The 27,414-nt window shown below is 38.4% G+C and overlaps 1 protein-coding gene and 2 pseudogenes across 7 annotated transcripts in view, besides 4 other annotated features; 1 reads left to right on the forward strand and 2 right to left on the reverse strand.

The window, feature by feature from the left end:
* The window catches only part of ATAD1 (ATPase family AAA domain containing 1), an 89,850-nt gene extending 66,795 nt beyond the window's left edge, over nt 1-23,055 (reverse strand). For 3 of the 6 annotated variants that reach the window (XM_005270252.6, XM_047425911.1, XM_047425915.1), the window contains exon 1: nt 22,881-23,055. The gene's annotated coding sequence lies outside the window, so the exon portion shown is untranslated. Of the gene's footprint in view, nt 1-634; nt 935-6,413; nt 6,563-22,880 lie in introns of those variants that run through there. The other 3 variants (XM_047425908.1, XM_017016847.3, XM_047425912.1) reach the window with 3 other exon arrangements.
* On the forward strand, nt 7-27,306 carry CFL1P1 (cofilin 1 pseudogene 1; annotated as a pseudogene). The gene is made up of 4 exons (NR_028492.1): nt 7-30; nt 596-734; nt 13,793-13,946; nt 25,504-27,306. The product of NR_028492.1 is annotated as a cofilin 1 pseudogene 1 (transcript).
* Nucleotides 18-67: a silencer, noted in NCBI's record as "silent region_2584". NCBI's record gives its function as "represses an Ori minimal core promoter by ATAC-STARR-seq in GM12878 lymphoblastoid cells {active_cell/tissue: GM12878}" and the evidence as "EXISTENCE:reporter gene assay evidence [ECO:0000049][PMID:35858748]".
* RN7SL78P (RNA, 7SL, cytoplasmic 78, pseudogene) lies at nt 14,512-14,792 on the reverse strand (annotated as a pseudogene).
* Nucleotides 19,427-19,546: an enhancer, noted in NCBI's record as "active region_3713". NCBI's record gives its function as "activates an Ori minimal core promoter by ATAC-STARR-seq in GM12878 lymphoblastoid cells {active_cell/tissue: GM12878}" and the evidence as "EXISTENCE:reporter gene assay evidence [ECO:0000049][PMID:35858748]".
* Nucleotides 22,946-23,240: a silencer, noted in NCBI's record as "tiled region #3344; HepG2 Repressive DNase matched - State 9:DNaseU". NCBI's record gives its function as "represses a minimal TATA promoter and a strong SV40 promoter by Sharpr-MPRA in HepG2 cells {active_cell/tissue: HepG2}" and the evidence as "EXISTENCE:reporter gene assay evidence [ECO:0000049][PMID:27701403]".
* Nucleotides 24,346-25,545: an enhancer, noted in NCBI's record as "MED14-independent group 3 enhancer chr10:89602409-89603608 (GRCh37/hg19 assembly coordinates)". NCBI's record gives its function as "activates an origin of replication core promoter dependent on BRD2, BRD4, P300/CBP and CDK7 cofactors, and independent of MED14, by STARR-seq in HCT116 cells {active_cell/tissue: HCT116}" and the evidence as "EXISTENCE:reporter gene assay evidence [ECO:0000049][PMID:35650434]".
* Nucleotides 27,307-27,414: the final 108 nt, after the last annotated feature.

Here is a 27,414-nt window from a genome sequence, read left to right on the forward strand (position 1 = left end):
GGAGGGGGCGTGCTCCCAGGCTTAGAAACAGTGAGGGAGAGCAAATTCGCGCACCTGATGTCTGCTTAAGCTACCTGCTAGACTGAGACTTTCTGCGAAGCCGGCGTGTCTGCGAGCAGCACTCGCTAAGGCTCTGCGTTTAACAGACACTACCTTTGGGAAGGCGCTTATCACAAAAAGTCCCTGCCCTTCTCGCGGGCTCGGGGCGCAACCCTGACAAATCGGGCAGCCTTCTTGAGAGTGCAGAAATGCTCTGCGTACCCAGCAAATACATTCTCTCCTTCCCACCACTCTGTGCAAACCCTCACGCCGCGGCTTTGTGTCTGTACTTTAGCCAAAACGCAGAAGCTTATGGCCACCCTCCACTCCTCACCCCTCATCCCTCACCACCTGCCTTTCAATTCTCGGGTGAGCTCACCCTTCTCCCCCATCTCTGTGCTGACAAACACCTCGGGGTGGCGCCTGACAATCTTTCCGCGAAAAGATTTAGCAGCCCACGCCACCAGACTCGGTAGTTAGGACGGAATAGGGCATCTGGTAACAGATTTTGCATTTTGGTGATTTCCCTTTTTCTTTCACCCCTTTTCCTTTCCAGAACGAGCGACGTGACACAAGAGGTCCCAAGGGAGCAAACCTGAAAGCCAGAGCCTCCTGAATACACAAACTGCCGGTGGGCCAGATGACATTAGACACTCCTGAGATACGAGAAGCATCACTTCCTTCAGACAGAGTCGGTGAGACTATGATGTAATGAGAGTTCTCCCTGTGTTCCTCAGGAAGGCAGCTTGTGCCTTTCTACTTGAGGCATCATCTTTGATGGCTAAAGAATTCTGCAGCTTGGCCAGCGCGGTGGCTTACGCCTGTAATCCCAACACTTTGGGAGGCCGAAGCGAGAGGATCACTTGAGGTCAGGAATTCGAGACCAGCCTGGACAACATAATGAGAAATCGTCTCTACAAAAAAAAAAAAAAAAAAAAAAAAAAAACCACCTAAAAATTAGCTGGATTTGGTGGCGCATGTCTGTAGTCCCAGCTACTTGGGAGGCTGAGGTGGGAGAATCGCTTGAGCGTGGGAGATCACGGCTGCAGTGATCAAGCCACTCCACTCCAGCCTGGGCGACAGAGCAAGCCCCTGTCTCAATAATAATAACAATTTTGCAGCCTGATTGTTAACGAATGTTACTAGTTACAAACTTGTAATAATGTGGTGAAGATAATACCTAGTTAATGTCTGCTGGGGTGGGGCAATAAGCTTCTATGTGCTTTACATGCATAACCTAAATATCTCCCCCAAAATCCTCTAAAATAGCTATCATTTTCTCCGTTTTTACAAATGAGCAAATTTTAAAGCTTAAACCTTAGAGAAACTTTTCTAAGTTCATATACTTGGGAAATAAAGGCAACAATTTCATTGGAACATAGGTCTGTCTAATTCATACCTTGTACTTTACGTTTTCTCTTTGAGATGGTAATTTAATACCAGCTAAACTTTAAAATCTAGTTGAAAGTAAGACCATGAAATGCCAAAATCACAAGGCTTTAAAGGATGGGATGAAAGGGATGCATGAATGTTGAAAACTATGATTAAGTTCATGGACAGGAATCAGAATGGAATTGAATACACCCGTGCCTGTTTAGTATTTAAGGCTTTATATACGTGCATGCCTACATTCCTAATTTAAAAAAAAAATGGATGTGAAGCTAGGTTTGGGATTACTAGACTATTTAGAGAGATAGACCTTTGAGAAGAACGGAAAGATTATGAGACGAGGACAATGTTCATTAAAAACAAACAACAACAACAACAACAAAAAACAGAGGCTATCAGTGCTCAGCAGACTTTCAAGAGACTCTCCACTGGGTCCTTGGATGATCCCAAGCTGAATCATTGCTTGGGAGGCTCATGGACACATGGTTTGGCAGGGCTAAAAGGGGGAGGGTCACTAAAGGCAAGAAACAGGTTTTGTGCCCCAATAGGGTAATTATATCCACTGGTAAGGAAAATGAGCTGAGAAATTCAAGATAGTAATGGATTTTCATTCATTTACTGAGTGAAATTGGTTCAACTAAGAGCCTCACCTGCCCTCTTCTAAGGACCAGGGTGACCAGCCTACCCAGTTTCAGTTTGCATGAGACTAAAAGGTTTGCTGGGATATAAAACTGGCTGACAAAGTCTCAGGCAAATCATGAGTCACTCTACTAGAGACATCCTAAATGAATCCTACAATGAAATGGAGTTCCCAGTATGGTTACATCTAGTCTCAATTCATCTGCCTAATATTTGAGGGATGATTGCACAGGAAGGGAAACTGTTGAATAAAGTCACGAGGCTGACCATAAAGAGTCTACAAGCTCGAAAAGTGCTACACCTCACTCCCTTTCCAGTGGTTCAGCCACTGGAAACCAAATGCCTACACCTATATGTTTTGGACCTAATATTTTCATTTAGCAAATCCGTAAGAAACCTTCCATGTCTGGGCCTAAGACATCAAGTACATTCATTTTCAGCAATCATCAAATCAATGAGATTCTTCCAGAATACAGCAGAGTGAACATATGCTTTTCATTCCAGGATAGCTTTATATAATCCCTGGCAACACAAAATACCATATTTGGCCCACAGTAGGGGCTCAATAAATAATTCAATATATATAATATTAATCAGGAAATTAGAGCAGACTGTAGACTTTCTGGGCCTTTGCTCTTTGTTAGAATCAAGATATTAAAAAGAATTATTACTTTATTCTAGAAAGTTTTTGGGTTTTGTGTGTGTGTGTTTTCTGTATCAGTAACTCTTAAAATAGTTATGGCAGTTCTCCTCCAAGGTGCTGAATTTTCCACTTTTGTTATTAAATGGAGTGTAGCTAGTTTGCTCTGCAATCAAGGTTAATGCACTAGACACCTGGTGGGAAGAAAGGATTCCTTAAATTAGGTGTTCTTGGCTGGGCGCAGTGGCTCACGCTTGTAATCCCAGCACTTTGGGAGGCCGAGGCAGGTGGATCACCTGAGGTGAGGAGTTCAAGACCAGCCTGGCCAACATGGTGAAACCTTGTTTCTACTAAAAAAAAATACAAAAATTAGCTGGGTGTGGTGGCGGGCACCTGTAATCCCAGTTACTTGGGAGGCTGAGGCAGGAGAATCACTTGAATCCAGGAGGCAGAGGTTGCAGTGAGCCAAGATCATGCCACTGCACTCCAGCCTGGACAACAGAGTGAGATTCCATCTCAAAAAAAAAAATTAGGTGTTCTCAAATTTCACTGTATATAGATTAACTTGGACAACTTGGCAAAATGCAGATTCCTGGCTCCCAGTCTTCAGAGACTCCCGTTCAACTACTGTAGGTTTTGGCCTAGAAATCTGCATTTTACAGTAAGCATCTGGGCTCTCCGCCATGTGAGGATGCAGGAAGGTGTCTGTCTGCAAGCCAGGAAGGATACCCTCACCAGACAGAGTATATGCCAGTATATTGGATTTCCCACCCTCCAGAACTGGGAGAAATAAATTTCTGTTGTTTAAGCCTATCAGTAAATCAGTAAACAAACATCTGAGCTGATTGGGATATAGGTAGTTTTGGACTCTATTTTGAGAAATTCTGCCCTAGTGAATGAAGACTGTAGATGTATTTTTGCAAAAATCTCTACTACCTTAGCCTAAAAGGCCTATCTGGTCAGCTGAACCATTAACCCAGCTGGAATACATCAAGAAATCAAGGCAAGGAAGCCTCATGATGAGATTCAGGATAGAACGCCTTTGGAAGGAAAAACAAATCTGAAATCTTTGAATAAGTAAACACAGTAAACCTGACTCTATTCATTGCTCATTAGAAGTAATTCACTTGACAATGATTTAGAAAGAATAGAACTTCAACAAATAGGTAAAATTATATAACAGTAATTATGCCAGTATAATTCACTTGGTTACCTTTGTTCTTTTAAAAATATCATAAAAGGATAATTTCAATCATTATTTTTTAATTTTTTAAATCATGTCTTCTGAATCATATGAACCATTATTTTGACAAGGTAAATTAAGTAGAATGGATGGAGAAAGAAAAGTAAAGCAAGAATATGAAGCTATACCTGAAGCTGTACTTGAAGCTCCAATAGAAAGATAATATAGAACACAATGGAGTACTATTCAGCCATTTAAAAAAATGAGATCCTGTCATTTGCAACAACATGGACAGAACTGTAGGACATTATGTTGAGTGAAATAAGCCAGGCACAGAAAGACAAACTTTGCATGTTCTCACTCATTTGTGGGAGCTAAAAATTAAAACAGTTGAACTCATGGAGATAGAGGGTAGAATGATGGTTATCAGAGGCTGGGAAGAATAGTGGTGGGGGGTAGGAGGGAAGTGAGAATGGTAATGGGTACAAAAATACAGTTAGATAGAAAAAATAAGATCTAGTATTTGACAACACAGCAAGGTGACTACAGTCAACAGTAATTTATTGTGCATTTTTAAATAACTAAAAGAGTATAATTGGAATGTCTGTAACAAAGAAATGATAAATGCTTGAGGTAATGGATACCTCATTTACCCTGATGTGATTATAACACATTGTATGCCTGTATCAGCATATATCATGTAATCCATAGATACACACACCTACTATGTACCCATAAACTTTTTTAAAAAATGAAAAAAAAGCTAAACTAAAAAATAAAAATAAGAAAGAATAAGATAGAATCAAGGAAAAAATAATGGAAATTTAAAATTTCAAAAGATTGGAAGAAGTAGAAAGATGAATTGATAACTCCATTCTGTAAAAAGAAGAGAACTAAAAAAAAAAAAAGACAACAGCAAAGTTCAAAGAACATATTGCTGTAAATCTACTTTCCATGGTTTTATGTTTTTAAACTTTACACATAATTTTAAATGAGTGTATATAAAAAGAAGTTATATATAATTTTCTTGTGTTATCAGGGTAATACTAATCCACAATCTGCATTTCTACGTAACCTTTTTCTCAAGCAGCATTGCCAAGTGTACTTTTTAAAAACTTCTACCAAAAAATGTTTTCTAGAACTTGGAAATTTACAACCTACAATATTTTATTTAGCTTTAATACAGTACTGTTCAAATGATACTATCTGTGAAAAATCAGGATTGAACAAAACCAGAATTGCTTCAGATGTCTAACCCTACTGTAGCCTCATTAGCAGAAGTTTTAAGGCGTAGATGAAAGAGTGATCCCCCTAGGATTAAATTGGGACCTTCATAATGCCCCTGCCTATGGTTTCTTAAATGGGGAGGAGGTGGGAAAGATTGAGTAAGAATAACAAAGATACAAATGCATTAGTTAAAATAGAAGAAACAATAGTTGAAATGTTAATTCTCAATTCCTGTAACAACAGATTGATAGATGAGGCATAAAACAAGACCAGATGCTGTGGTTTTCAGGATGCACTTGGCTTCCCATCCTTTATAACCTAGAGCAATTTTTGCTGTAAGTAGGTCACTTGCCTTCTCTCATTTACCTGATTCTAGGAAAATGCCCTTGAAAGTATTTAGAAAATAATAGGTACTGGTACTTAATATTTTAAAAATTAAGATCGCATAAAACCTTCCTCCTCCCACCCGTTTCTCTAATAGCCAGAATAACTGATAACCTTGAAACATATGTGAAACTAAAATGAACAAGAATAATTTGAGGTCTTTTATCTTCTAAGCACAAGTACACTAAACTCTGTGTCCATTCTGTTAGTTCCCGTAATTCACTTTGGTTAGCACTGGCATAGTACTCAGCTCACAGAATTATAGTTGAAGTCTTTATTCTCCTATAATATATTATCATCTTGAAAAAAGAGGATGCCTAGAACATAGGAGAGGCTTAACAAGATTTAACCTGACTAGAGAGAAAAGAGGATGCCTAGGACATAGGAGAGGTATAGATTTAACCTGATTAAAGAGGAAAAAAAAGGGAAGGGGGGAGGAAAGACAAGTGGTCCAAAGGTATGACATACGATTCAAACCATTTTACTGATGATAATTATATGATTGCCCTATCCTGATGTGTCCATTAGAAACTAGTCCAATCGGGGAGTCTTGGTATCTATAGGGTATAAGAACGTGAACTTGACAGACCTGGGTTTGAATTTAAGATCTACTGTATACTGACTCTGTTAATTTGGACAAGTTACTTATGTTCTCAAGCCTCAGTTTCCTTATATTTAATATGGGAACAGTAACAGTACACATGCCATGGACTTGCACTAAGAATTCAATGAGACAATACATGTACAGTGCTGAGCTCAATGCCTGGCACTTAGCAAGTGCTCAGTAAACATGCTGGTGTAATACCTCAGATGTTATTTTCATTATACGATGAGGTGATATTCTCTCATTCCTAGATTCTGTAAGGACAATGATCTTTTCATATCTCCTCTGTGTTTGCATGAGGACCTTACCTCTTCAGTTTTCAACCATGGCATCTTGTCTGAAATGTTTATCTTCTCTGACTTGTGAAGAGGCTGTGCCTCTCTGTCCTGCTGACCTCTTGGTTCTCACATTCCCATTCTTAATACACCCCTCTGGCTGAGTCTTACTGATCAGTAGTCTATAAAACATTTATGATAGTTATATAAAACCTGTAAGATTTCATCCCTACGACCCAAAGATAATAAAGTTTAACGTATTTATCGATCCATGAAAATTATGGATATTTCTCAGTTCAGAGACCATCATTAATATTGGCTGTTATTCCCATCTGTCAAGTAACAATCATTTATTGAGTATACATTCTTTGCTTTTATGAATTTCTAAAGATTGAAACATCTTATAAAAATGCAAGTCCTCCTACAGCTGTTGATTTTAAGTTAGAGGTTTGCCCTATATTTCATTCCTTCATTTTTTGCTTACTTTTCCTTACTTAGACTGCTGAGTGGATTTTGCACAAGAAAAATTAATTTAGTAGATGAAAGTGAGACGCTGAACAAGCCTTGAGATTTGAGAAGTCAATACTTTGCATGTCTTATCTTTTCTCTGCAAATCTTAACCTTTTTTTTTTTTTTTTTTTGAGATGGAGTCTTGCTCAGTCGCCCAGGCTGGAGTGCAGTGGCGCAATCTCGGCTCACCGCAACCTCCACCTCCTAGGTTCACGCCATTCTCCTGCTTCAGCCTCCCGAGTAGCTGAGACTACAGGCGCCCGCCACCACACCCGGCTAATTTTTTGTATTTTTAGTAGAGACGGGGTTTCACCGTGTTAGCCAGGATGGTCTCGATCTCCTGACCTCATGATCCGCCCACCTCGGCCTCCCAAAGTACTGGGATTACAGGCATGAGCCACCGTGCCCAGCCACAAATCCTAACCTTCCTATTAACCTCAGGGACAACCACAGCGTCAGAGCTGTTATTCTACATATAAAATTTAATTCATTTGAGCACAACACTTTTTTTTTTTAACTTTTAGAGACAGGGTCTCGCTCTGTTGCCCAGGTTGGAGTGCAGTGTCTGGATCATAGCTCACTGCAGCCTCAAACTCCTCGGCTTAAGCAATCCTCCCAGCTTGGCCTCCCAAAGCACTGGGATTACAGGTAGGAGCCACCATGCCCAGCCAAGTACAACACATTTTTTTGTTTAATTTACTATGGGTAATTAATAGAAACATTCCCAAAGTTGAGGGAGCTTTACTGAGCAGAAGAAATGATATATCCTGTCCAGACACTGAATGCACTTCTTCCAAAGGCCAGGGCAAAGCTGGCTGATTTTACGTGTTTAAGGATGAAATATCTACTAGGCCTTCTTTCACCTAGAGGGGCCCAGCAGCAGTTCACTGGCAAGCTGATGTTAAAAATCTCCCATCTTCCCCTTTTATTGTCATTGTTTCTGGAACCAGAAAACAGCAGCAGCAGCAACAACAACAACAAAGGGGAAAAAGAAAGCAAAGCCTATAACTTGTTTTATAGAAGCACAGGAAACTAAGTATACTAAATTGGCAGGGATGAAAGTCTCATTCAACTTCAAAATAGTATACCTGATAGATTTCACAAACCTTTCTACTTTCTAGCCTGCTGCTTATTCAGTTGAAATATCAGCAATTCTGAAACCTTTGAATGTCCAAGTAAGGCCCAGTGCCAGAGGCATGCCCCTACCCATTTCTTTGTGCCTTCTGAGTTCTCAGGTTAATGAGAGATCAGAAAAGGGGAGAGTAAAGGAGAGTAGACAAAGAGGCTAACTCCCCAATCATGTTTTCTTCTTCTATAGTGTTTTGTAAAAAGCTGAAGAAATGCTAATAATTCTTGGCTGGCTAAAAGCAGGTTTAGAATTCTGTCCAGATATTCTTGAACCTCTGGCTGGACCGTGTGCCACCTTCCACATTACAGTCCCTCCATCACTTAATCCTACTTATGTTACATAAACTAGCTTTCCATATATAGTCATCATAGTGTCCTCACAGGCTAGTATTTAAGAAACCTCTTCTGTCCCTCTCTCACCCCTTCCTTGGGACTCTTGGAAATAAACAGGTGAAAGAGTTTAAATGAATGATGTCTAAAGCCATGAAATACAGTGATCATATTTTGTCTTATTTTTGATGACTAATCATATTTCTTCAGTTGAATCAATCAGAAGGATTTGCAGCACCTGAACACACACTCATAGGCCAAAAAGAGAAGACAACTAAAAGTCTCTCTAGTGTTACCCCATTTCCTCCTCATTCTACAGGAAGATGGGGTCCATGATACTTCATTTTAATTATCATTCTCAAAATCTGTTTCTGAACCCAACACAGGAAATTTATCAAGCATAGAGTGCCAGGTAGGTGAAGAACAAATATAGTCTCTGCCAAAGTAGTTTGAAGCATGCAGGATGCAGATTATGGCTGTTTTATTCAGTATTTAATATACCATTATTTACTGTTACTAAATATCATGATACTATTTATATAATGTCATAATGCTAAATATTTAATAATTTAATAAAATTCTGTTTCAGTATTTATGCAGTATTTGAGAAATTCTAAATTATGACAGTACTCAATGAGAGGTACCAGCTCCGTGGCCTGTCACACGTCAGGTAGCCTTTCTGGGTTTCCTCCTCTGAAATGAAAATACAGGCATACCTCATTTTATTATGCTTCCCTTTATTGTGCTTTGCAGATATTATGATTTTTACAAATGGAAGGTGTGTGGCAACCCTGCATCTAGCTAGTGTGTCAGTGCCATTTTTCCAACAGCATGTACTCACTTTGTGTCTCTGTCTCATTTTGGTAATTCTTGCAATATTTCAAACATTTAAATTATTATATCTGTTACGGTGATCTGTGATCAGTGGATCTTTGATGTTACTATTGTGATTGTTCTGGGCACCACAGACCACAGCCATGTAAGGCAGTGAAATTAATAAATGTTGTGTTCTGACTGCTCTACCAACCAGTCATTCTCCTGTCCCTATCCCTCTCCTCAGGGCTTGCTTTTCCCTGAGACACAACAATATTGAAATTAGGCCAATTAATAACCCTACAGTGGCCTTTAAATGTTTAAGTGAAAGGAAGAGTCACACATCTCTCACTTTAAATCAAAAGCTAGAAATGATTAAGCTTAGTGAAAAAAGGTATGTTGAAAGCTGAAATAGACCAAAAGCTAGGCCTCTTGAGTCAGACAATTAGCCAAGTGGTGAATGCAAAGGAAAAGTGGTTTTTTTTGGTTGTTCGTTTATTGGTTTTAAGAGACGGGGTCTTACTCTGTTGCCCAGGCTTGAGGGCAGTGGCATGATCATAGCTCACTGTGGCCTCAAATTCCCAGGCTCAAGCAATCATCCCACCTCAACCTCCCAAGTAGCTTGTACTACAGGCGCACACCACTGAGCCTGGCTAATTTTTTTTTTTTAATTTTTTGCAGAGATGGGGTCTCATTTTATTCCCCAGGCTGGTTTCAAACTCCTGGTCTCAAGCATCCTCCCATATTGGCCTCCCAAAATGTTGGAATTACACGCATCAGCAACTGTGTCTGGCCTAGAAAAGTTCTTAAAGGAAATTCAAAGTGTTACTCCAGTGAATAAATGCATGATAAGAAAGCAGAAACATCCTAATGGCTGACATGGAGAAAGTTTTAGATGGTCTGGGTAGAAGATCTAACCAACCACATTCCTACAGCCTAATTCAGAGCAAGTCCCTCTCTTCAATTCTGTGAAGGTTAAGAGAGGCAAGGAAGCTGTAGAAGAAGGATTTGAAGCTAGCAGAGGTTAGTTCATGAGGTTTAAGGAAGGAAGCTATCTTCATAACATGTAAGTGCAAGGTGAAGCAGCAAGTGCTAATGGAGAAGCTGCAGTAATTTACCCAGAAGATCTAGCTAAGATCATTGATGAAGGTGGCTACACTAAACACAGATTTTCAATGTAGACAAAACAGCCTTTTATTGGAAGAAAATGCCATCTGGGACTTTTATAGCTAGTGAAGACAAGTCGATGCCTGGCTTTAAAGCTTCAAAAACAGGCTGACTCTCTTGTTAGGAGCTAATGCAACTGATGACTTTAAGTTGAAACCAATGCTCATTGGTCATTCTGAAAATCCTAGGGACTTAAGAGTTACTCTGTATCTACTCTGCCTGTGCTTTATAAATGGAACAACAAAGCTGGGATGACAGCACATCTTTTTACAGCATGGTTTTCTGAATATTTTAAGTTCACTATTGAGACCTACTGTTCAGAAATAAATGATTCATTTCAAGATGTTAACTGCTCATTGACAATGCACCTGGTCACTCAAGAGCTCTGATGGAGATGTACAGCAGAATGTTGTTTACATGCCTACTAACACATCATCCATTCTGCAGTCCATGGATCAAAGAGTAACTTCAACTTTCAAGTCTTATTACTAGAGAAATACATTTTATAAGGCTATAGCTACCATAGATAGTGATTCTGCTGATGGGGAATCTGGGGACAGTAAATTGAGAAACTTCTGGAGGGATTCATTATTTTATTTATTATTTATTTATTTATTTATTTATTTATTTATTTATTATGAGATGGAGTCTCACTCTGTCTCCCAGGCTGGAGTGTAGTGGCGTGATCTTGGCTCACTGCAACCTCTTCCTCCCGGGTTCAAGCAATTCTCCTGCCTCAGCCTCCTGAGTAGTTGGGACTACAGGCACGTGCCACGATGCCCAGCTAATTTTTTGTATTTTAGTAGAGACAGGGTTTCACCATGTTGGCCAGGATGGTCTTGATCTCCTGACCTCATGATCTGCCGACCTCAGCCTCCCAAAGTGCTGGGATTACAGGCATGAGCCACCTCGCCCGGCCAGGATTCACCATTCTAAATGCCATTGAGAATATTCAAAATTCATGGGAGGTCAAAATATTAACATTAACAAGTGTTTGGAAGAAGTTGGTCCAACCCTCCTACATGATTTCTAGGAGTTCAAGACTTGAGTGGAGAAGTCACTGCAGATGTGGTATAAATAGCAAGAGAACTAAAATTAGAAGTGGAGTCTGAAGATGTGACTGAATTGCTGCCATCCCCTGATAAAACTTGATGAGCTGCTTCTTATGAATGAGCAAAGAAAGTGGTTCCTTGAGATGGAATCTACACCTGGTGAAGATAATGTGAACATTGTTGAAATAACAAAGGATTTAGAATATTAGCTGATAAAGCAGTGGCAGTGTTTGAGAAAATTTACTGCAATCTTGAAAGAAGTTCTGCTCTGGGTAAAATGCTATCAAACAGCATCACATACTGCAGAGAAATATTTTATGAAAGGAAGGGTCAAATGTTGCCTCTACCCCCAACCCTCCACATATGGGGAGTAACAGCAGGACACTGGGCCTAAAGAAAAATCATGCCCTTCATTTGTGGAAGGATCAGCTGACCATTAAGAATGTTGCCAAGGCTTGCAAATGTGATATACCAGTGGGAAAGCAAATGCAAGCAGCATGAAATAGCAGTATAGTAAGGGCCAGATCAAAAGCTGTGAAAGGAAGTGTGGTTAATATAAATACATCCTATCTTTCACACCAATCATGATTTTTCAGAATATGAGCTCATGAACAGCTGAAGGAGAAGATTCTTTTCTGCTTTATGACCAACTTTATTGCTTTACTATCTTACAAGTTCCATATTTTCTTGAATTTTGCCAATGGAGGTTTTACCTAACATGGCACCTTTTAGGAATGTAATCATCCCCACTCTCAGTTGGTGAGAGATTACTGTAACAAATTCTGAAACACTCACATAGATTCTTATGAATCATGTTTTTTTCCCCCCTGTCTTATGGTGCTGAATGAATCATGTTTAACTGAGAATTAGCTAAGGGGAGAGTAGAGCAGTAAGGACATAGATTTATCTCTATTTGTGTTTTCATTTACTACTTTTATCAAGAATAATAACATTTTACCTCTTTTTTAAATACCACTCTCTAGAAAGTAAATTCAGGAGTAAGAAACTCCTTACCTATTCAGCATAATCCAATTTATTGTTAATTCCATTGTCTATTAACATAGTAAATAGTGTGTTGGCTTGTAACACTTCCCTCATAGAAGTAACAAACCAACTTCAAATTTAAGAATGATGCCTCTTTTTTCTTGAGAAAGACACCTGTTCCAGTGCATAGAAATGGCTAGGGAAGATCTATATCTATATTTAGAAAGATATAATTTCAATAAATCACAGACTCTCAGGATTAAAAGGAATACTGAATGTTATTGAGTCTTTGACCAAAGGCAGTTTGGATTAGAAAGAATGTTTGCTGTGGAATTAGATGTCCTGGATCAAATCACAGCTTTACCACTTAATGACAGCACATTTCGGGTGATTTATTTAACCTCTCTGAGCCTTGGTTTTCTCATGTATAAAAAAGGGATAGTGTCTACATTATAGAGTTGGGGAGAGGATTGGAGATAAGCTACGTAAAGGAACTAGGACAGACACCATAAACATTTTAGAAATGACTGTGTTTGTTGTCATCATAATTATCTCACCAAGTGGTCATTGAACTTATTTAAACATTCTGGTGACATAGGATTCACTAACTGCTTCAGTTGTCATCCCATGTTCAGAGAACCCTTCAGTGTTACGTCTTCCCTTTACTGAGCCTAAATATTTTCCCCTAGAACTTTTATCCACGATTCTCATTCTTGCCAGTGAGGCTGCACAGATTAAGTCTACGTAACTAAATTAAGTGTGAAACTAGAATGGAATATATGCTTCAAGAGTGGTGTGACCAGTGTAGATACTATAGATTTCTCATCACAATTTAGGATCAAACTATCTTCCTTTTGCTAGTAACCACCCTTTTGATACCTACTGAATTTGTTGTTCATAAAGCCTATTCTTCACTAGAGTTTGGGTCCTCCATGCTGTACCAGTCACAATTTTGAGGGAGAGACTCAAGTGCAGGGCCTTACAATTTAACTTGTATCATATTTATCAATAAATGTTAAATTCCCTATGATACAACAAATATAATTTGGCTATTTAATCAGTTATAATGTCGTATGGCATACCCATAAGTTACTGTGACTGACAAGTGGTTAAGAACCTGGTGCATTTTATTTAACAAACACTTTATATAGTATTTAATATATACCAGCTACTGTTCTAGGTGCTTTGCATATATCAACTCATGTAATTCTCATAAACCTGTAGTAAGTACTATAATTATTCTCAGATAAGGAAACTGAGGCACAGAGAAGTTAAGTAACTCATTCAAGGTCAAATAGTAAGTCCTAAAGCCAGGATTGTACCTGGGCTATCTAATTCTAGAACCTGTATTCGTACTCATTATGCTCTGTTCCCAAATTTTTCTGTTACATAGATTGTTATGGCTTTTTTTTTTTTTTTTTTTGACAGGGTCTTGCTCTCTCACCCAGGCTGGAGTAGAGTGACAATGACCACTGCAGCCTCCACCTCCTAGGCTCAAGTGATCCTCCTGCTTCAGCACCCCCACACCAGGCAACATAACAAGACCCCCATCTCTACAAAAAATTAAAAAAGAATTATCAGGGTATGGTGACCCATGCATGTAGTCCCAGCTACTTGGGAAGCTGAGGTGGGATGATCACTTGAGCCCACGAGTTTGAGGCTGCAGTGGGCCATAACTGTACCATTGCACTCCAGCCTGGGCAACAGAGTGAGATCCTATCTCAGAAAAAAAAAAAAATATGGCTGCAGTGGGCCGTGTTTGTGTGGGACTGTTTCTGGGCTGTTTATTCTGTTCCACTGATCTTAAGTGTCTACCCTTTCACCAATACTAGATTATGTTGATTAATCTAGCTTTATAGTACAACCTAAAATCAGGTAGTTTGATTCTTCAACCTTATTTTTCTTTTTCAAACTTATTTTGACTTTTCTAATGATTTTAAATTTCTATATTTTAGAATAAACTTGCTATATTTAAAAATTTTAAATCATAATTTATATAAAATTTAAAATACAATTTAAAATTGTATTAATTTTAAGATCAGCTTGCTATATTTTACAAATTTGTTTTGTGAGTTCTGTTGAGATATTTAGTGGAATTGAATTAAACTATAGTGTCATGGGTTGAGTCTTCAGTTTTCTTTCTTTCCAGAGATGAGAGTCTTGCTATGTTACCCAGGCTAGAATGCAGTGGCTATTCACAGGCATGATTGTGCTACTATCAGCATGGGAATTGTGACCTGCTCCCTTTTCTACCTGGGCTGGTCCACCCCTCCTTAGACAACCTGGAGTACCCCACCCCTAGGAGGTCACCATATTGATGCCAAACTTAGTGCCAACACCCAAGCTGCATAGTGAACTACAGCCCAGAGCTCCTGGGCTCAAGCACTTCTCCTCCCTCAGACTCCTGAGTACCTGGTATTCTTCCAGTTCTGAACATAGTATATCTCTCCATTATTTATAGTTAGATCTTCTTTGATTGCTTTCATTAATGTTTTGTAGTTTTCAGCATACATATTCTATTCATGTTTTGTTAAATTCGTACCTTAGTATTTCAGTATTTTTGGAGCTATTGTAAATGGTATTGTTTAAAAAATATTAGTTTCCAGTTGTTCATTGCTGGTATATGGATGTAAAATTTTGAATGTGTGTTTACCTTTTGTCCTCTGACCTTACTAAAGTCAGTTCTAGGAGGTTTTTTTTAAATCACTTATTTGGTTTCCTATGTAAACAATCATGTCATCTGCAAATAGAGACATTTTTATTTCTTCTTTCCCTATCTGTATGTCTTTTATCTTCTTGCCTTATTACACTGAATGAAATTCCAATATAATGTCAAATAGCAATGGTGAGTGAAGACATTCTTACCTTGTTCCTGACCTTAATGGGTAGAATTCAGTCTTTCACCACATAATATATTAGATGTTGGCTTTTTGTACATGACCTTTATGAGGTTGTGAAATCCCCTTCTACCCTCGTCTGCTGAGAATTTTTTTTTTTTAATCTGAATGGATGTTGAAGTCTGTCAAATGTTCTTTCTCTCTCTCTTTCTTTCTTTCCTTTTTTTTTTTTTTTTTTTTGATAGAGTCTTGCTCTGTAGCCCAGGCTGGAGTGCAGTGGCATGATCTCAGCTCACTGCCACCTCCGCCTCCTAGGTTCAAGCAATTCTGCTTCATCCTTCTGAGTAGCTGGGACTACAGTCATGTGCCACCACACCCGGCTAATTTTTGTAGAGATAGGGTTTCACCATGTTTGCCAGGCTGCTCTCGAACTCCTGACCTCAGGTGATCTGCCTGCCTTAGCCTCCCAAAGTGCTGGGATTACAAGCATGAGCCACCAAACCCAGCCTGTTAAATGCTTTTTCTGTATCAAGTGGTATGGTCATGTAGCTTTTCCTCTTTACTGTAGTAATATGGTGGATTACATTGATTGATCTTTTGAATATTGATCCAGCTTTGCATTTTCAAGATAAACCTCATTTTGGCATGGTGTATAATATTTTTATATACTGATGGATTCAATTTGTTAATATTTTGTTGAAGATTTTTGTGTCAAGGTCCAAGGCAGATATTGTATGGTTTTTTCTTGTCCTGTCTTTGTCTGGCTTTGGTATCAATAATGCTGATTTTATAAAAATAAATTGGTAAATGTTCTCTCCTCTTCTATTTTCTGGAAAGAATTTGTGTAGAATTGGTATTAATTCACCTTAAAATGATTGATAGAATTTGACAGTGTAACCATCTGGGCTTGGAAAATTTTTTGAGAGGTTTTAAACTATGAATTTAATTTCTTTACAGGTATAGGATTCTTCAGGTTATTTAAATTTGCTTATGTGAGTTTTGATGGTTTGGTTTTGAGGAATTAGTCTATTTCACATAGGTTGTCATATTTATGTGTGTTGAGTTGTTCGTAGTATTTCCTTATTTTTAGAATACCATTGCATTTGTAGTGATATCTTCTCTTTCATTCCTGATATGGTAAATTGTGTCTTTTCTTCGTAATCTTGCAAGAGATTTGTGAATTTCATTGGTCTTAAAGAACCAGTTTTTTGTTTCATTAATTTTTCTCTATTGATTTCTGTTTTCAATTTCATTCATTTCTGCTCCTAGCTTTTAAAAATTTTCTTCCTTCTGCTTGATTTGGGTTTATTTTATTGTTATTAACTTTTTAGCTTCTTAAAGATCAGTGACGTGAGAACTTTCTTCTTTTTTAATGTCAATATTTCATGTTATAAATATAAATTTCCCTCTAAGGATTGCTTTAGCTGAATCCTATTCCACAAATTTTCATATGTTGTGTTTTCATTTTCATTCAGTTCAAAATATTTTTTCCTTTTGGCTTCCTCTTTGACCCATGGATTACTTAGAAGTATAATGTTTATAAATGTTTGGAGATTTTACTTTTATTTATTTCTAAGTTTATTCTATTATGATTAGAGAGCATATTTTATATGATTTCAATTCTTTTTTTAGGCTGGATTATGTTTTGATGAATGTGCTGTGCCATGTACATTTTAAAGAGTATGTATTCTGCTATTGTTGGGTGGAGTATTTTATAAATACCTATTAGGTACGGTTGGGTTGATGGTATGGTTCAATTTTTCTATATTTTTGCTGATTTTCTGTTTACTACTTCCATCCATCACTGAGAGAGGAGTATTGATGTTTCCAAATATAATTGTAGATTTGTCTGTTTCTCTTTTCAATTCTATCAGGTTATGATTCACACATTTTATAATGCCCTTCTTTATCTCCAGTAATTTTCTTTGCTCTGAAGTCTACTTTGTCTGATAGTAATATAACTATTCTCGCTTCCTTTTGGTTAGTGTTCACATGGCATATATTTTTCTATTTTTAACATACCTATATAAATGTATTTTGAATTGAGTTCTTTTTTACAACACATACGTAGCTCAGTCATGTTTTTGCGTACATTTTACCAACCTGTTCAGTGGGCATATTTAGGTGTTTTTCCATTTAATGTAATAATTGATATATTCAGATTTAGGCCTACCATTTTATTTATTTGTTTTCTATTTGTTTCCTTTATTTTCTTTCATGTATCTGTTTTCTCTTTTCTACCTTCTTTTGGGGCATTTGTATATTTTTTAAAATTCCATATTTTTGTTAGTTTTTGACTATGTGTCCTTGTTAAAAAAGTTTTTAATGATTGGGATCAAAATATAAATATTTAATTTTACACAACCTACTTAGAATCAATATTTTATAACTTCAAGGGGGATATAGAAATGTTATAATCATTTAGATCCTATTACCTTCCCTCTTTATGTTGCAGTTGTCTTATGTATTGCATTTACATACACTGAAAACCCCATTAATGTTATCAGTTTTGCTTTCAAACATGAAACAAATTTTAAGGAACTTAAGAGGTGAATTGTTTATTTACCTAGATATTTACCATTTCTGTTTTTCCTTCTTTATTCCTTGTTTTTGTTTTGTTTTGTTTTGTTTTCTTGGAGTCGGGGTCTTGCTCTGTCACCAAGGCTGGAGAGCAGTGGCACAATCATAGCCCACTGTAACCTCAAACTCCTGGGCTAAAAGTGATCCTCCCACCTCAGCTTCCGAGTCGCTAAGACTACCACCATGCCTGGCTCCTCCTTTATTCTTGATGTTTCAGGTTACCTTATGATGTCATTTCCGTCTGTCTGAAGAACTTCCATTAGTAATTCTTTAGACCAAGGTATGCTGACAACAAATTATCTTTGTTTTCCTCCCCCAAGAATGTGTTTATTTCAAATTTAATCATGAAGGATATTTGTGCTAAATATAGAATTCTGGGTTGACAGGTTTTTACTTTTAGCCCTTTAAGTTGTTCTACTTCATTCTAGCCTCCGTGGTTTCTGATGAGAAATCTGCAGTCATTCACACTGTTTTTCCCCTGTAAATAATGTATCATTTTTTTCTACCAGTTTTCAAGAATTTTTCTTGTTTCAGTTTTTAGCAGTTTGATTATGATGTGTTTGGGCATGAGTTTCTTTGGTTATACCCTGTTTGGTGTCTGAGTTTCTTGAATCTGTAAGTTTATGTTTTTTACCAAATTTAAGAAATTTTTAGTTATTCTTTCAAATATTTGGTACTACGTTGTATTCTTTCCTTTCTTCTTCTGGATCTCCGATATCATAAATGTTAGATATTTTGGTGGTGTCCCACCAGTCCCTCAGGCACAGCTTTTTTCCCCCAATACTTTTTCTCTCCATTGTTCACATTGGATAATTTCTGTTGCCTCATCTTCAAATTCACTGACTGTTTCCTCTCTCATCTCCATTCTGTAATTGAACCTATACAATTAGTTCTTTATTTTTGTTATTATATTTTTTAGTTCTGAATTTCAATTTCATTTTTTTATTATTTTTTGCATTTCTTTCAGGAACTTTTTAATCTTACGTTCTGGTACACTTTTCTAATAACTGTTTTAAAGCTATAGTCAGCTAATTCCAGCATCTATAGCATCCTGGCATTGTCCTCTATTGTCTTTTCCTAGGTGAGCTGAGATTTTCCTGGTTCTTGTATGCTGACTAGTTTTGAATTGTATCCCAGACATTTAATATATTATAAGACTCTGGGTTTTGTTTAAATCATATGGAGAATACTGATATTTTTGTTTTGGTGGGTAATAGATCTGTTTTGGTTCAAGTCAAAAGTTCCAGCCAACCTTCTGTCAGTTGTAGTTTCAATGTCAATTCTGTTTTCAAAAAGAATATTTTGCTTTCCATGCTATTTGGATCTATCCTCTATGTGTACTACCAGTCAGTAGTGGTAGGGTGGTGGACTTGTGTGGTAGACTCTCCTTTAGTTCAGTCTCAAAGTCTTTTTGGTACATATGCTGTTTGTGATCAGATCCATCCTTGTGCAACTTGAAGGTGAGTCTAGGAGGTTATAATCAACTTAACTACTACTTCTCTGAGTTCCTCCCTCTTCATGGTCTCTAGTACTTTCTTATTCCTGGGACTTCCTCTTTCAGTCCCACAGCCAGAAATCTAGTGCTTTAGTTACCCTGCTGTGGTATGTACTTTCTGGGGCTACACTATGTCCAGGGCTCAGCAGTGGAAGGACAGAGAAGAAAAAATCAACTGGTGTTTATCCCACCCTCCTGAGGCCCCAACTTCTCCATGGAAGAAGGTTCCCCTCCCTCAGAGATATTGGAGCTTGTCACCACCTGCTGACATTGCAGTCATTACCACTGCTTGGTTGGCAGGATTTCTAGGTGCCTGGGGCACTAGAGAATGGAGAACAAAAGAGAAGAAATTGGCAGATTTCTCCCACACTCTCTGAGTATTAGGAGATGCTTTTCCTGCTCCTTGAGCCAGAACTAGAGGGCTTCTCCTGGGGCTCTGTCTGTCTGTGCGTATTCTGAGTTTCAGACTGCCTTATTTCTAGACTGAGGTTCTGATAGGGAAAAAACAAAAACAGAAAACTCACTGCTTGTTCAGTAGTACTTTAAATTCTAGTCTTTTTCCCCAATTCACTTGGTACTTTTTATCTTTCAGTGTCCCCAAGTAGCTGTTTCATGCATTCTATCTAGGTTTTATAACTATATTTAATGAAAAAGACAGGGTGGGCTGGGCGCGGTGGCTCACGCCCTTAATCCCAACAGTTTAGAAGGCCGAGGTGGTCGGATCACCTGAGGTCAGGAGTTCAAGACCAGCCTGGCCAACATGTTGAAACCCAGTCTCGACTAAAAATACAACAATTAGCTGGGCGTGGTGGTGCACACCTGTAGCCTCAGATTGTGCCACTGCAGTCCAACCTGGGTGACAGAGTGAGACTCTATCTCAAAAAAAAAAAAAAAAAAAAAAAAAAAGACAAGGTGGAGTGTGCTTACTCCATCTTACCTAGAGCTGGAATGGAACATTGTTTTTAAATGGCTGTTATGGATTGAATGTTTTTGTATCCTCAAAATGCACAAGTTGAAGCTCTAACCCTGAAAGTAATGGTATTTAGCAATGAGGCCTTTGAGAGGTAATTAGGATTAGATGAGGTCATGAGAGTGGGGCATCATGATGGGATTAGTGCCCTTGTAAGAGGAGACACCAAAGAGCTCATTCATATTCTCTCTCTCTCTCTCTCTCTCTCCTTTTTGTGAGGACATAGCAAGAAGGCAGCTGTCTGCAAGCCAGAAAGAGAGGCCTCACCAGGAGTTAAATCAGCTGGCACCTTGATTCGGGACTTCCCAGCCTCTCAAACTGTGAGAAAGTAGATTTCTGCTGTTTTCGCCATTCAGTCTATGGTATTTTGTTTTGGCACCTTGAGCAGACAAATACAATTGCCAACATATTCATGAAAAAATTCTTGGCACTACATATTGCCTCATTCTTCCCAATTCAGTCACTACTTTTCTTTATAATTCTACCTGTACATGTTTTCTGCAAGATTTATAACAAATTATACTTAGCTGAATTTCTAGACAGAAATAGAAACAAATCCCCCAACACTAGATGGATAGCTTTAGAGATCCAATAATTTTGTGCCATGTAGTTGTAACACTTCAAATATATATATTTTGGTATGTCTTTTTTGAATTAATTTATTGCTTAATTGTTTGGTCTTCAGTCACCTTGACTAAATTTGCCTGATGTTTCTCTGTAAATAATCTCAAGGCTAGGTGACCTAGGTCCTGTTTGGGCCAATTATTTTTATTTTTATCTCTGAGAAGCTTGCCTCAAAGAGAACTTATGGTTAGGAGCCAACAGTCCATTTCTTTCACATACATCCTGTTAAACTATAAGAAACGAGGATCGTATTGAATAATATAAATGAGTAGAAGGAAGATAAAGCAATTTGCTTGTCTTCTGCAGATAGTAGTTTTAAATAAATTTTTATCTAATAGTAAACAGAACATGAGTAATTCTTGACCATCAAGAGAAGGACAAGTCCTTATAATTGGAGTGGAACTGGACTAGAACTAGGCTATTGTCTCAAGTGGGACGAAGACTCTAGAATAGATCAGTGAGCTTTGTACCTAAGGCAATTTCATGTTATGCTCTATTGCTTTCCACCAAATGGGCTTCTTTCTTTCTTCCCCCCCGCCGCCCCCAGTAATCTTCTCCATCTCATCCATTCCCTCTTCTTTTTCTCTTCCTCACAGTTTTTATATCTGTGAACCTGGATGAATTAGTAGATTTAAAGAAGTAATGGGATTGTAAAAAGCTGCTGATCTTTATCCTCTTTAAAAATCTGTCAACACCTCTCATCTTTTCCTTGTATGCTGCCTTCCTATTCCTGTTCCACCTTTCCATATTGTCCTTCACTTCATGGCCAGGCTTTAGCCCTGCCAGTGGTGGCCAGAGACATGAATTAACTCTGTTTGAGTCATTTAGGAATAAAAAGATTATTACTGACCTCAATTCTAGAATAAAAATACTGTAGTTTTTCTCTCCCACACTATAATTTTACTAAAATGTTACATTGTTCCAGAGTTAATCAGGATACTCTGTGAAATTAAACCTTAATTGTGATTTGGCTACTTCCATCTTAGAGAAAATTAAAAGAGAAATATTAGAAAATGATAATTTCAGGCTGGATGCAGTGGCTCATGCCTATAATCCCAACACTTCGTGATGACAAGGCGGGAAGATTGCTTGAAACCAAAGGTTTGAGATGAGCCTGGGCAACATAGTGAGACCCTGTCTCTAAAAATAAAAGTAAAAAATTAGCCGGGTGTTGTGGTGTGCCCCTGTAGTCCTAGCTACTTGAAGGCTGAGGTGGGAGGATCACTTGAGCCCAGGAGGTTGAGGCTGCAGTGAGCCATGATTGCGCCATTGCACTCCAGCCTAGGTGACAGAGTGAGACCCTATCTCTGAAAAAGAAAAAAGAAAATGATAATTTCATCAGAACTTGTTTGAAAGAGAAACGTTAGTTTCTTGAACAAAATTAGGAGTGCACATTTGAGGGAATTTTGGTTATTTCTACTGCAACTGAGGAAACAGGTATATTACTATGTTTGATTTGTAATTAACTAGGCCTCATAGCCCTTTTTTCACCCCTTCAGGGAACAGAATATTTCTTAAGTTTGACATTTCCTCTGTTGATGTTCCCTTTGGAAAACATAAAATATAAATAGTGATTAAGGTCTTTCCAGATAGTGTCCCATACCAAAGTGTAGAAAGAACATACATAATGTCCCATACCAAAGCGTAGAAAGAACATAACATGACATGATAATGTAAAGTAATATATGATGATATTTTTATCTCAGGGCTATATTATATCCAGCTGATAAGTTGTATTTGTATGTTTGTTTATAATTGAAAAAGTATGTAGTCTTTTAGTCACGGAGCTTATGAGTACTTAACTGAGCATCTCTCTGATACGTAAAAAAACTGCTAGCATGAGAAGTACAAAGGTACAAAGATTTACCTAGTAATTTTTTTTTTTAATCTCTAAGAAACTTCAGTGGAAGCAGGACTGCTTCCACTGTAGTGAAAGCTAAGATGTAGTTAGGAGTTGTCAAGCTTTACACTAGAGCCTATATGAAGTTTTGATTCTAAGTGTTAATGTACCTTCTGACAACTGTGAATGAACCTTGTTCCTGGGGAGCGCGTTCTGGTTTTCTCTTTGCACAGTTAAGCTGAGACTAGCATCATTCTAGTTTGCAGGTGACATTCTCTGGGAAGCTAGTCTATGGGGGAGATGACATCTTCTGAACCTAGTCCCCACAGAGAACTTTGAATGAGTGGAATCAAGAGGTTGCCTGCATTCTTGCTCATGTCACAATGCTGGACATGTGACTTCAGAGAAGCATGTGCCAGGTCAATATGATTGGGCTGTTCTCACAATACAAGGCCTTGACCATAGAGTGATTCAGAGGCAAATGCAGCCTTCTTAGACTCTTAACCAAAACATTGGCATGACATAAAATTATAATTAATAAAAGATATACAGTTATTTCAAAAGTACCGTTTTATTGGGACATCTCAAAGGACTAAGAAAATGTTTATTTTCTTATCTCCTATCTTTTGTTAATAGCTGTTCATCGCTCATCAGCCTTTACTGAAAGCTTATCATGTATCAAACAATATGCCAGGTGTCAGAGAGGGCAGCAAAGAGAGTACAATTGAGTTAGATAGAGTACCTGCACTCAATAATAATAACAGCTAACACTTACATAGTGCTTTCTGCGTGCCAGGCTTGTCCTAAGTGATTTTACACACACACACACACACACACACACACACACACACACACACACACACTCCCTCACTCAGTCCTTATAAAAACCCACTGATAGGCCGGGTGCGGTGGCTCATACCTGTAATCCCAGCAACTTTGGGAGGCTGAAGCAGGCAGATCACTTGAGGTCAGGAGTTCGAGATCACCCTGGCCAACATGGTGAAACCTCATCTCTACTAAAAATACAAAAATTAACCAAGCATGGTGGCAGGTGCCTGTAATCCTAGCTACTCAAGAGGCTGAGACAGGAAAATCACTTGAACCTGGTAGGTGGATGTTGCAGTGTGCCGAGATCGTGCCACCACACTCCAGCCTGAGCAACAGAGTGAGACTCTATCTAAAAAAAAAAAAAAAAAAATTAAAAACCCAATGAGGTGGCTACTGTTATCATCCCCATTTTACGGATGAGGACATGGGTACATAGAGATTAAGTAACTTGCCAAAGATCTCACAACTGGTAAGTGGCAGAGCAAAATTTGAAAACAAACAATCTGGTTCCAGAAACTGTACTTTTAACCTCATGATAGCTTCCTGAGGAATTTATGATCTGAGTATATATAGTAAGTACCTCCCCTTTCAGGGTAAGGCAGTAGGTAATGGTGAACAGGGAAGCAAAAGGTGACTCAGGTTGAGTAAACAACACCAAGCATATCTGACTCAAGGAATGCTTCAGAGGCCAGGGGTGCATGCCTGTAATCCCAGCACCTTGGAAGGCTGACACAGGAGGATCACTGGAGCCCAAGTTCAAGACCAGCCTGCACAACATGACAAAACCCTCTCTTTACAGAAAATACCAAAATTAGGTGGGCTTTGTGGCGCATGCCTGTAGTTCCAGCTACTTGGGAGGCTGAGAGTTGGGAGAATCACTTGAGCCTGGGAGGTCGAGGCTGCAGTGAGCTGTGATCGTGCCACTGCACTCCATCCTAGGCAATAGAGTGAGACTCTGTCTCAAAAAAAAAAAAAAAAGAAAAAGAAAAAGAAGAAAAAAAGGAATGCTTCAGTCTGCTCCAAAGAAAAGAATGGAGTAATGTGAAGTATTAAATGTAGCAAGATGCCACTGCAGTAGCTCACACCTGTAATCCCAGCACTTTGGGAGGCTGAGATGGGAGGATCACTTGAGCCCAGGAGTTCAAGACCAGCCTGGGCAACATAGTGAGACCCCATCTCTTAAAAAAATAATAAAAAGTAAATAAAAATAAATGTAGCAAGAAATTAGAAATCTTTATGAACAGATGGCAATCCAGTTTAATGTTATGTGCATGGCCACAACCCTTATTCCACTACATCCTCCTTTCACATATATATTATGAAGGTTAATGAATACAATCATTGTGATAACATTTCTTTTCTCCCTTTCTCCCTCCTCTGGTAGAGTACTCACATAAAGGCTGCATTCACAATTGAGGTTAGAACTTGTCTAGGCATGTCTAGTGAGCAATGGGAGGAGTCTGCTAGGAAAGTACTTTCAGAATACTGGAAACCTTAGGGAGAAAACTCCTCCTGAAGGTAGAAAATTGCAGAAATTATAATAAAGCCTCAGCTGCTATAGGAGAAGGATAGCTTTAGTACTTTTGGTAGGGAAGCAGTGTAGCAGCAAATTTTAAGAGATATATGAGAGGTATTTAAGTGGATCATGCCTGTAGGTCATTTAGTAGTAGTATGCAATCAATAAATATTCATTATTACTTGTGTGACAGTGCTTACCCCACACTGTCCTTTATAGAAACATATTTGCAGAGACCTGGGGAGAAAATGCAAACATGCCAGAGGGCTTCATAAGACCATACATACCCTTTAATGACTCCATTAAGTGTTATCAACAAATGTTAGTAATAATAAATATAGTTATTATCATTATTGTTCTTATTACAGCCTCATTTTATGTTATTACTGATTTTTTAATGGGGTCAGTGAGAAAATAAGACTTCATTCTCAAAATATTCAAATGTCTAGTCAGATCCTGGCAGCAGCTGCAGCGGCTCTCCTTGCCATCTCCTTTTCACTTCTGGAAACATGGGCTCCCATGTGGCTGTCTTTGATGATGTCATCAAGGTGTTCAGTGACATGAAAGTGTGCAAGTCTTCAACACTAGAAAAGGTGAAGAAGCGCAAGAAGTTGCTGCTCTTCTGCCTGAGTGAGTACAAGAAGTACATCATCCTTGCGGAGGCCAAGAAGATCCTGGTAAGTAATGTGGACCAAACCATTGATGATCCCTATGCCACTTTTGTCAAGATGCTGACAGTAAGGACTGCCGCTACGCCCCTTATGACGCCACCAAGGACAGCAAGAAGAAGGACCTGGTGTTTATCTTCTGGGCCTCTGAGTCTGCATCCATTAAGAGCAAAATGATCTATGCCAGCTCCAAAGACGTCATCAAGAAGCAGCTAGGGGTCAGCACTGTCGTCTTCTTGGAGGGCAAACTTTGTGATCCCCTCCAGCGCCCTTCCTGGAGAATCTACTAGTCCCAGACCTGCCCTCAGGGATTGCAGGCTGCCCCCTTCCTGCCAGACTGGAGGGCCTGGGGGAATCCCAGCAGAGGGAAGGCACTCCCTTCACCCCAATTGCCAAACAGCCCCCCAACTCCCTGGATTTTCCTCCTCTCTCCATCCCTGACAGTTCTGGCCTTCCCAAACTGCTTGGATCTTCTGATTCCTCTTGGGTTGAAGCAGACCAAGTTCTCCCAGGAACCCCAGTTGGGGAAGGCCTATATATATATTTTAAAAACAACCCCACTCTCCACCTGTTCCTCCACCTTCCCATGCTACAACTTCTAACCACAACAGTGACTCTGTGCCTGTCTGTTTAGTTCTGTGTATAAATGGAATGTTGTGAAGATGGCCCCTTCCCATGCCAGCTGGTTCCTCTCCCTTGGTTATGGCCGCTAATGGAAACCGGACTAGTGAGCGACCTTTAATTTTTAAAAAAAGAAAATACAATAAAATAATACTCAAATGTTTAAGCAGATTTCCCAAAACAGAGTAGAATAGAATTCATATGAATAAGCAAACAATTTAATTGTTACTACTGGCATTATGTTATGGATTTTGCTTTCCTACAGAAAATAACTCCACAACTGATTTTATTAGTATAGAATTAATTTCTTGCTAAGAGTCATTTTTGCTTATCTCACCATTGGATATTTGCAAAGTCACTAATATTTCTTTTATCCATCATTCATATGTAAGTAAATATGTACCTTACTTCCTCTTTCCAGGCAAGTAGAGGTTCCAAATATAGCCATGTGTCACATAACAGGGATTTGTTCTGATAAACGAATCCATAGACAATTTTGTCTTTGTGCAAACATGATAAAGTGTACTTGCACAAACCTAGATGGTGTAGCCCACTACACACCTAAGCTATGTGGTATAGCCTGTTGCTTCTAGGCTACAAACATGTACAGCATGTTACTATACTGAGTACTGTAGGCAAGTGTAACATAATGGTCAGTATTTGTGTATCTAAACATACCTAAATATAGAAAAGGTACAGTAAAAATATGGTATAAAAGATAAATGGTATACCTGTATAAGGCATTTACCATGAATGGAGCTTGCAGGACTGGAAGTTGCTCTGGGTGAGTCAATGAGTGAGTGGTGAGTCACTGTGAAAGCCTAGGACATTATTGTACACTACTGTAAACTGCATAAACACTGCACACTAGGCTACAATTTATGAAAAAATTTCTTCAATAATAAGCTATTAAATAACATAAAGTTGTAAATAATAATAAATTATGATTACATATCAACAATATTTTCTTTATATCCTATAAGCTTTTTTCTATTTTTAAATTAATTTCTTAAAATTTTTTAAACTTATTTTGTTAAAAACTAAGACACAAACACCCATGTAAGCACAGGC

This window comes from Homo sapiens, chromosome 10, assembly GCF_000001405.40.
Source record: "Homo sapiens chromosome 10, GRCh38.p14 Primary Assembly".
In the NCBI taxonomy this organism is placed as follows: domain Eukaryota; kingdom Metazoa; phylum Chordata; class Mammalia; order Primates; family Hominidae; genus Homo; species Homo sapiens.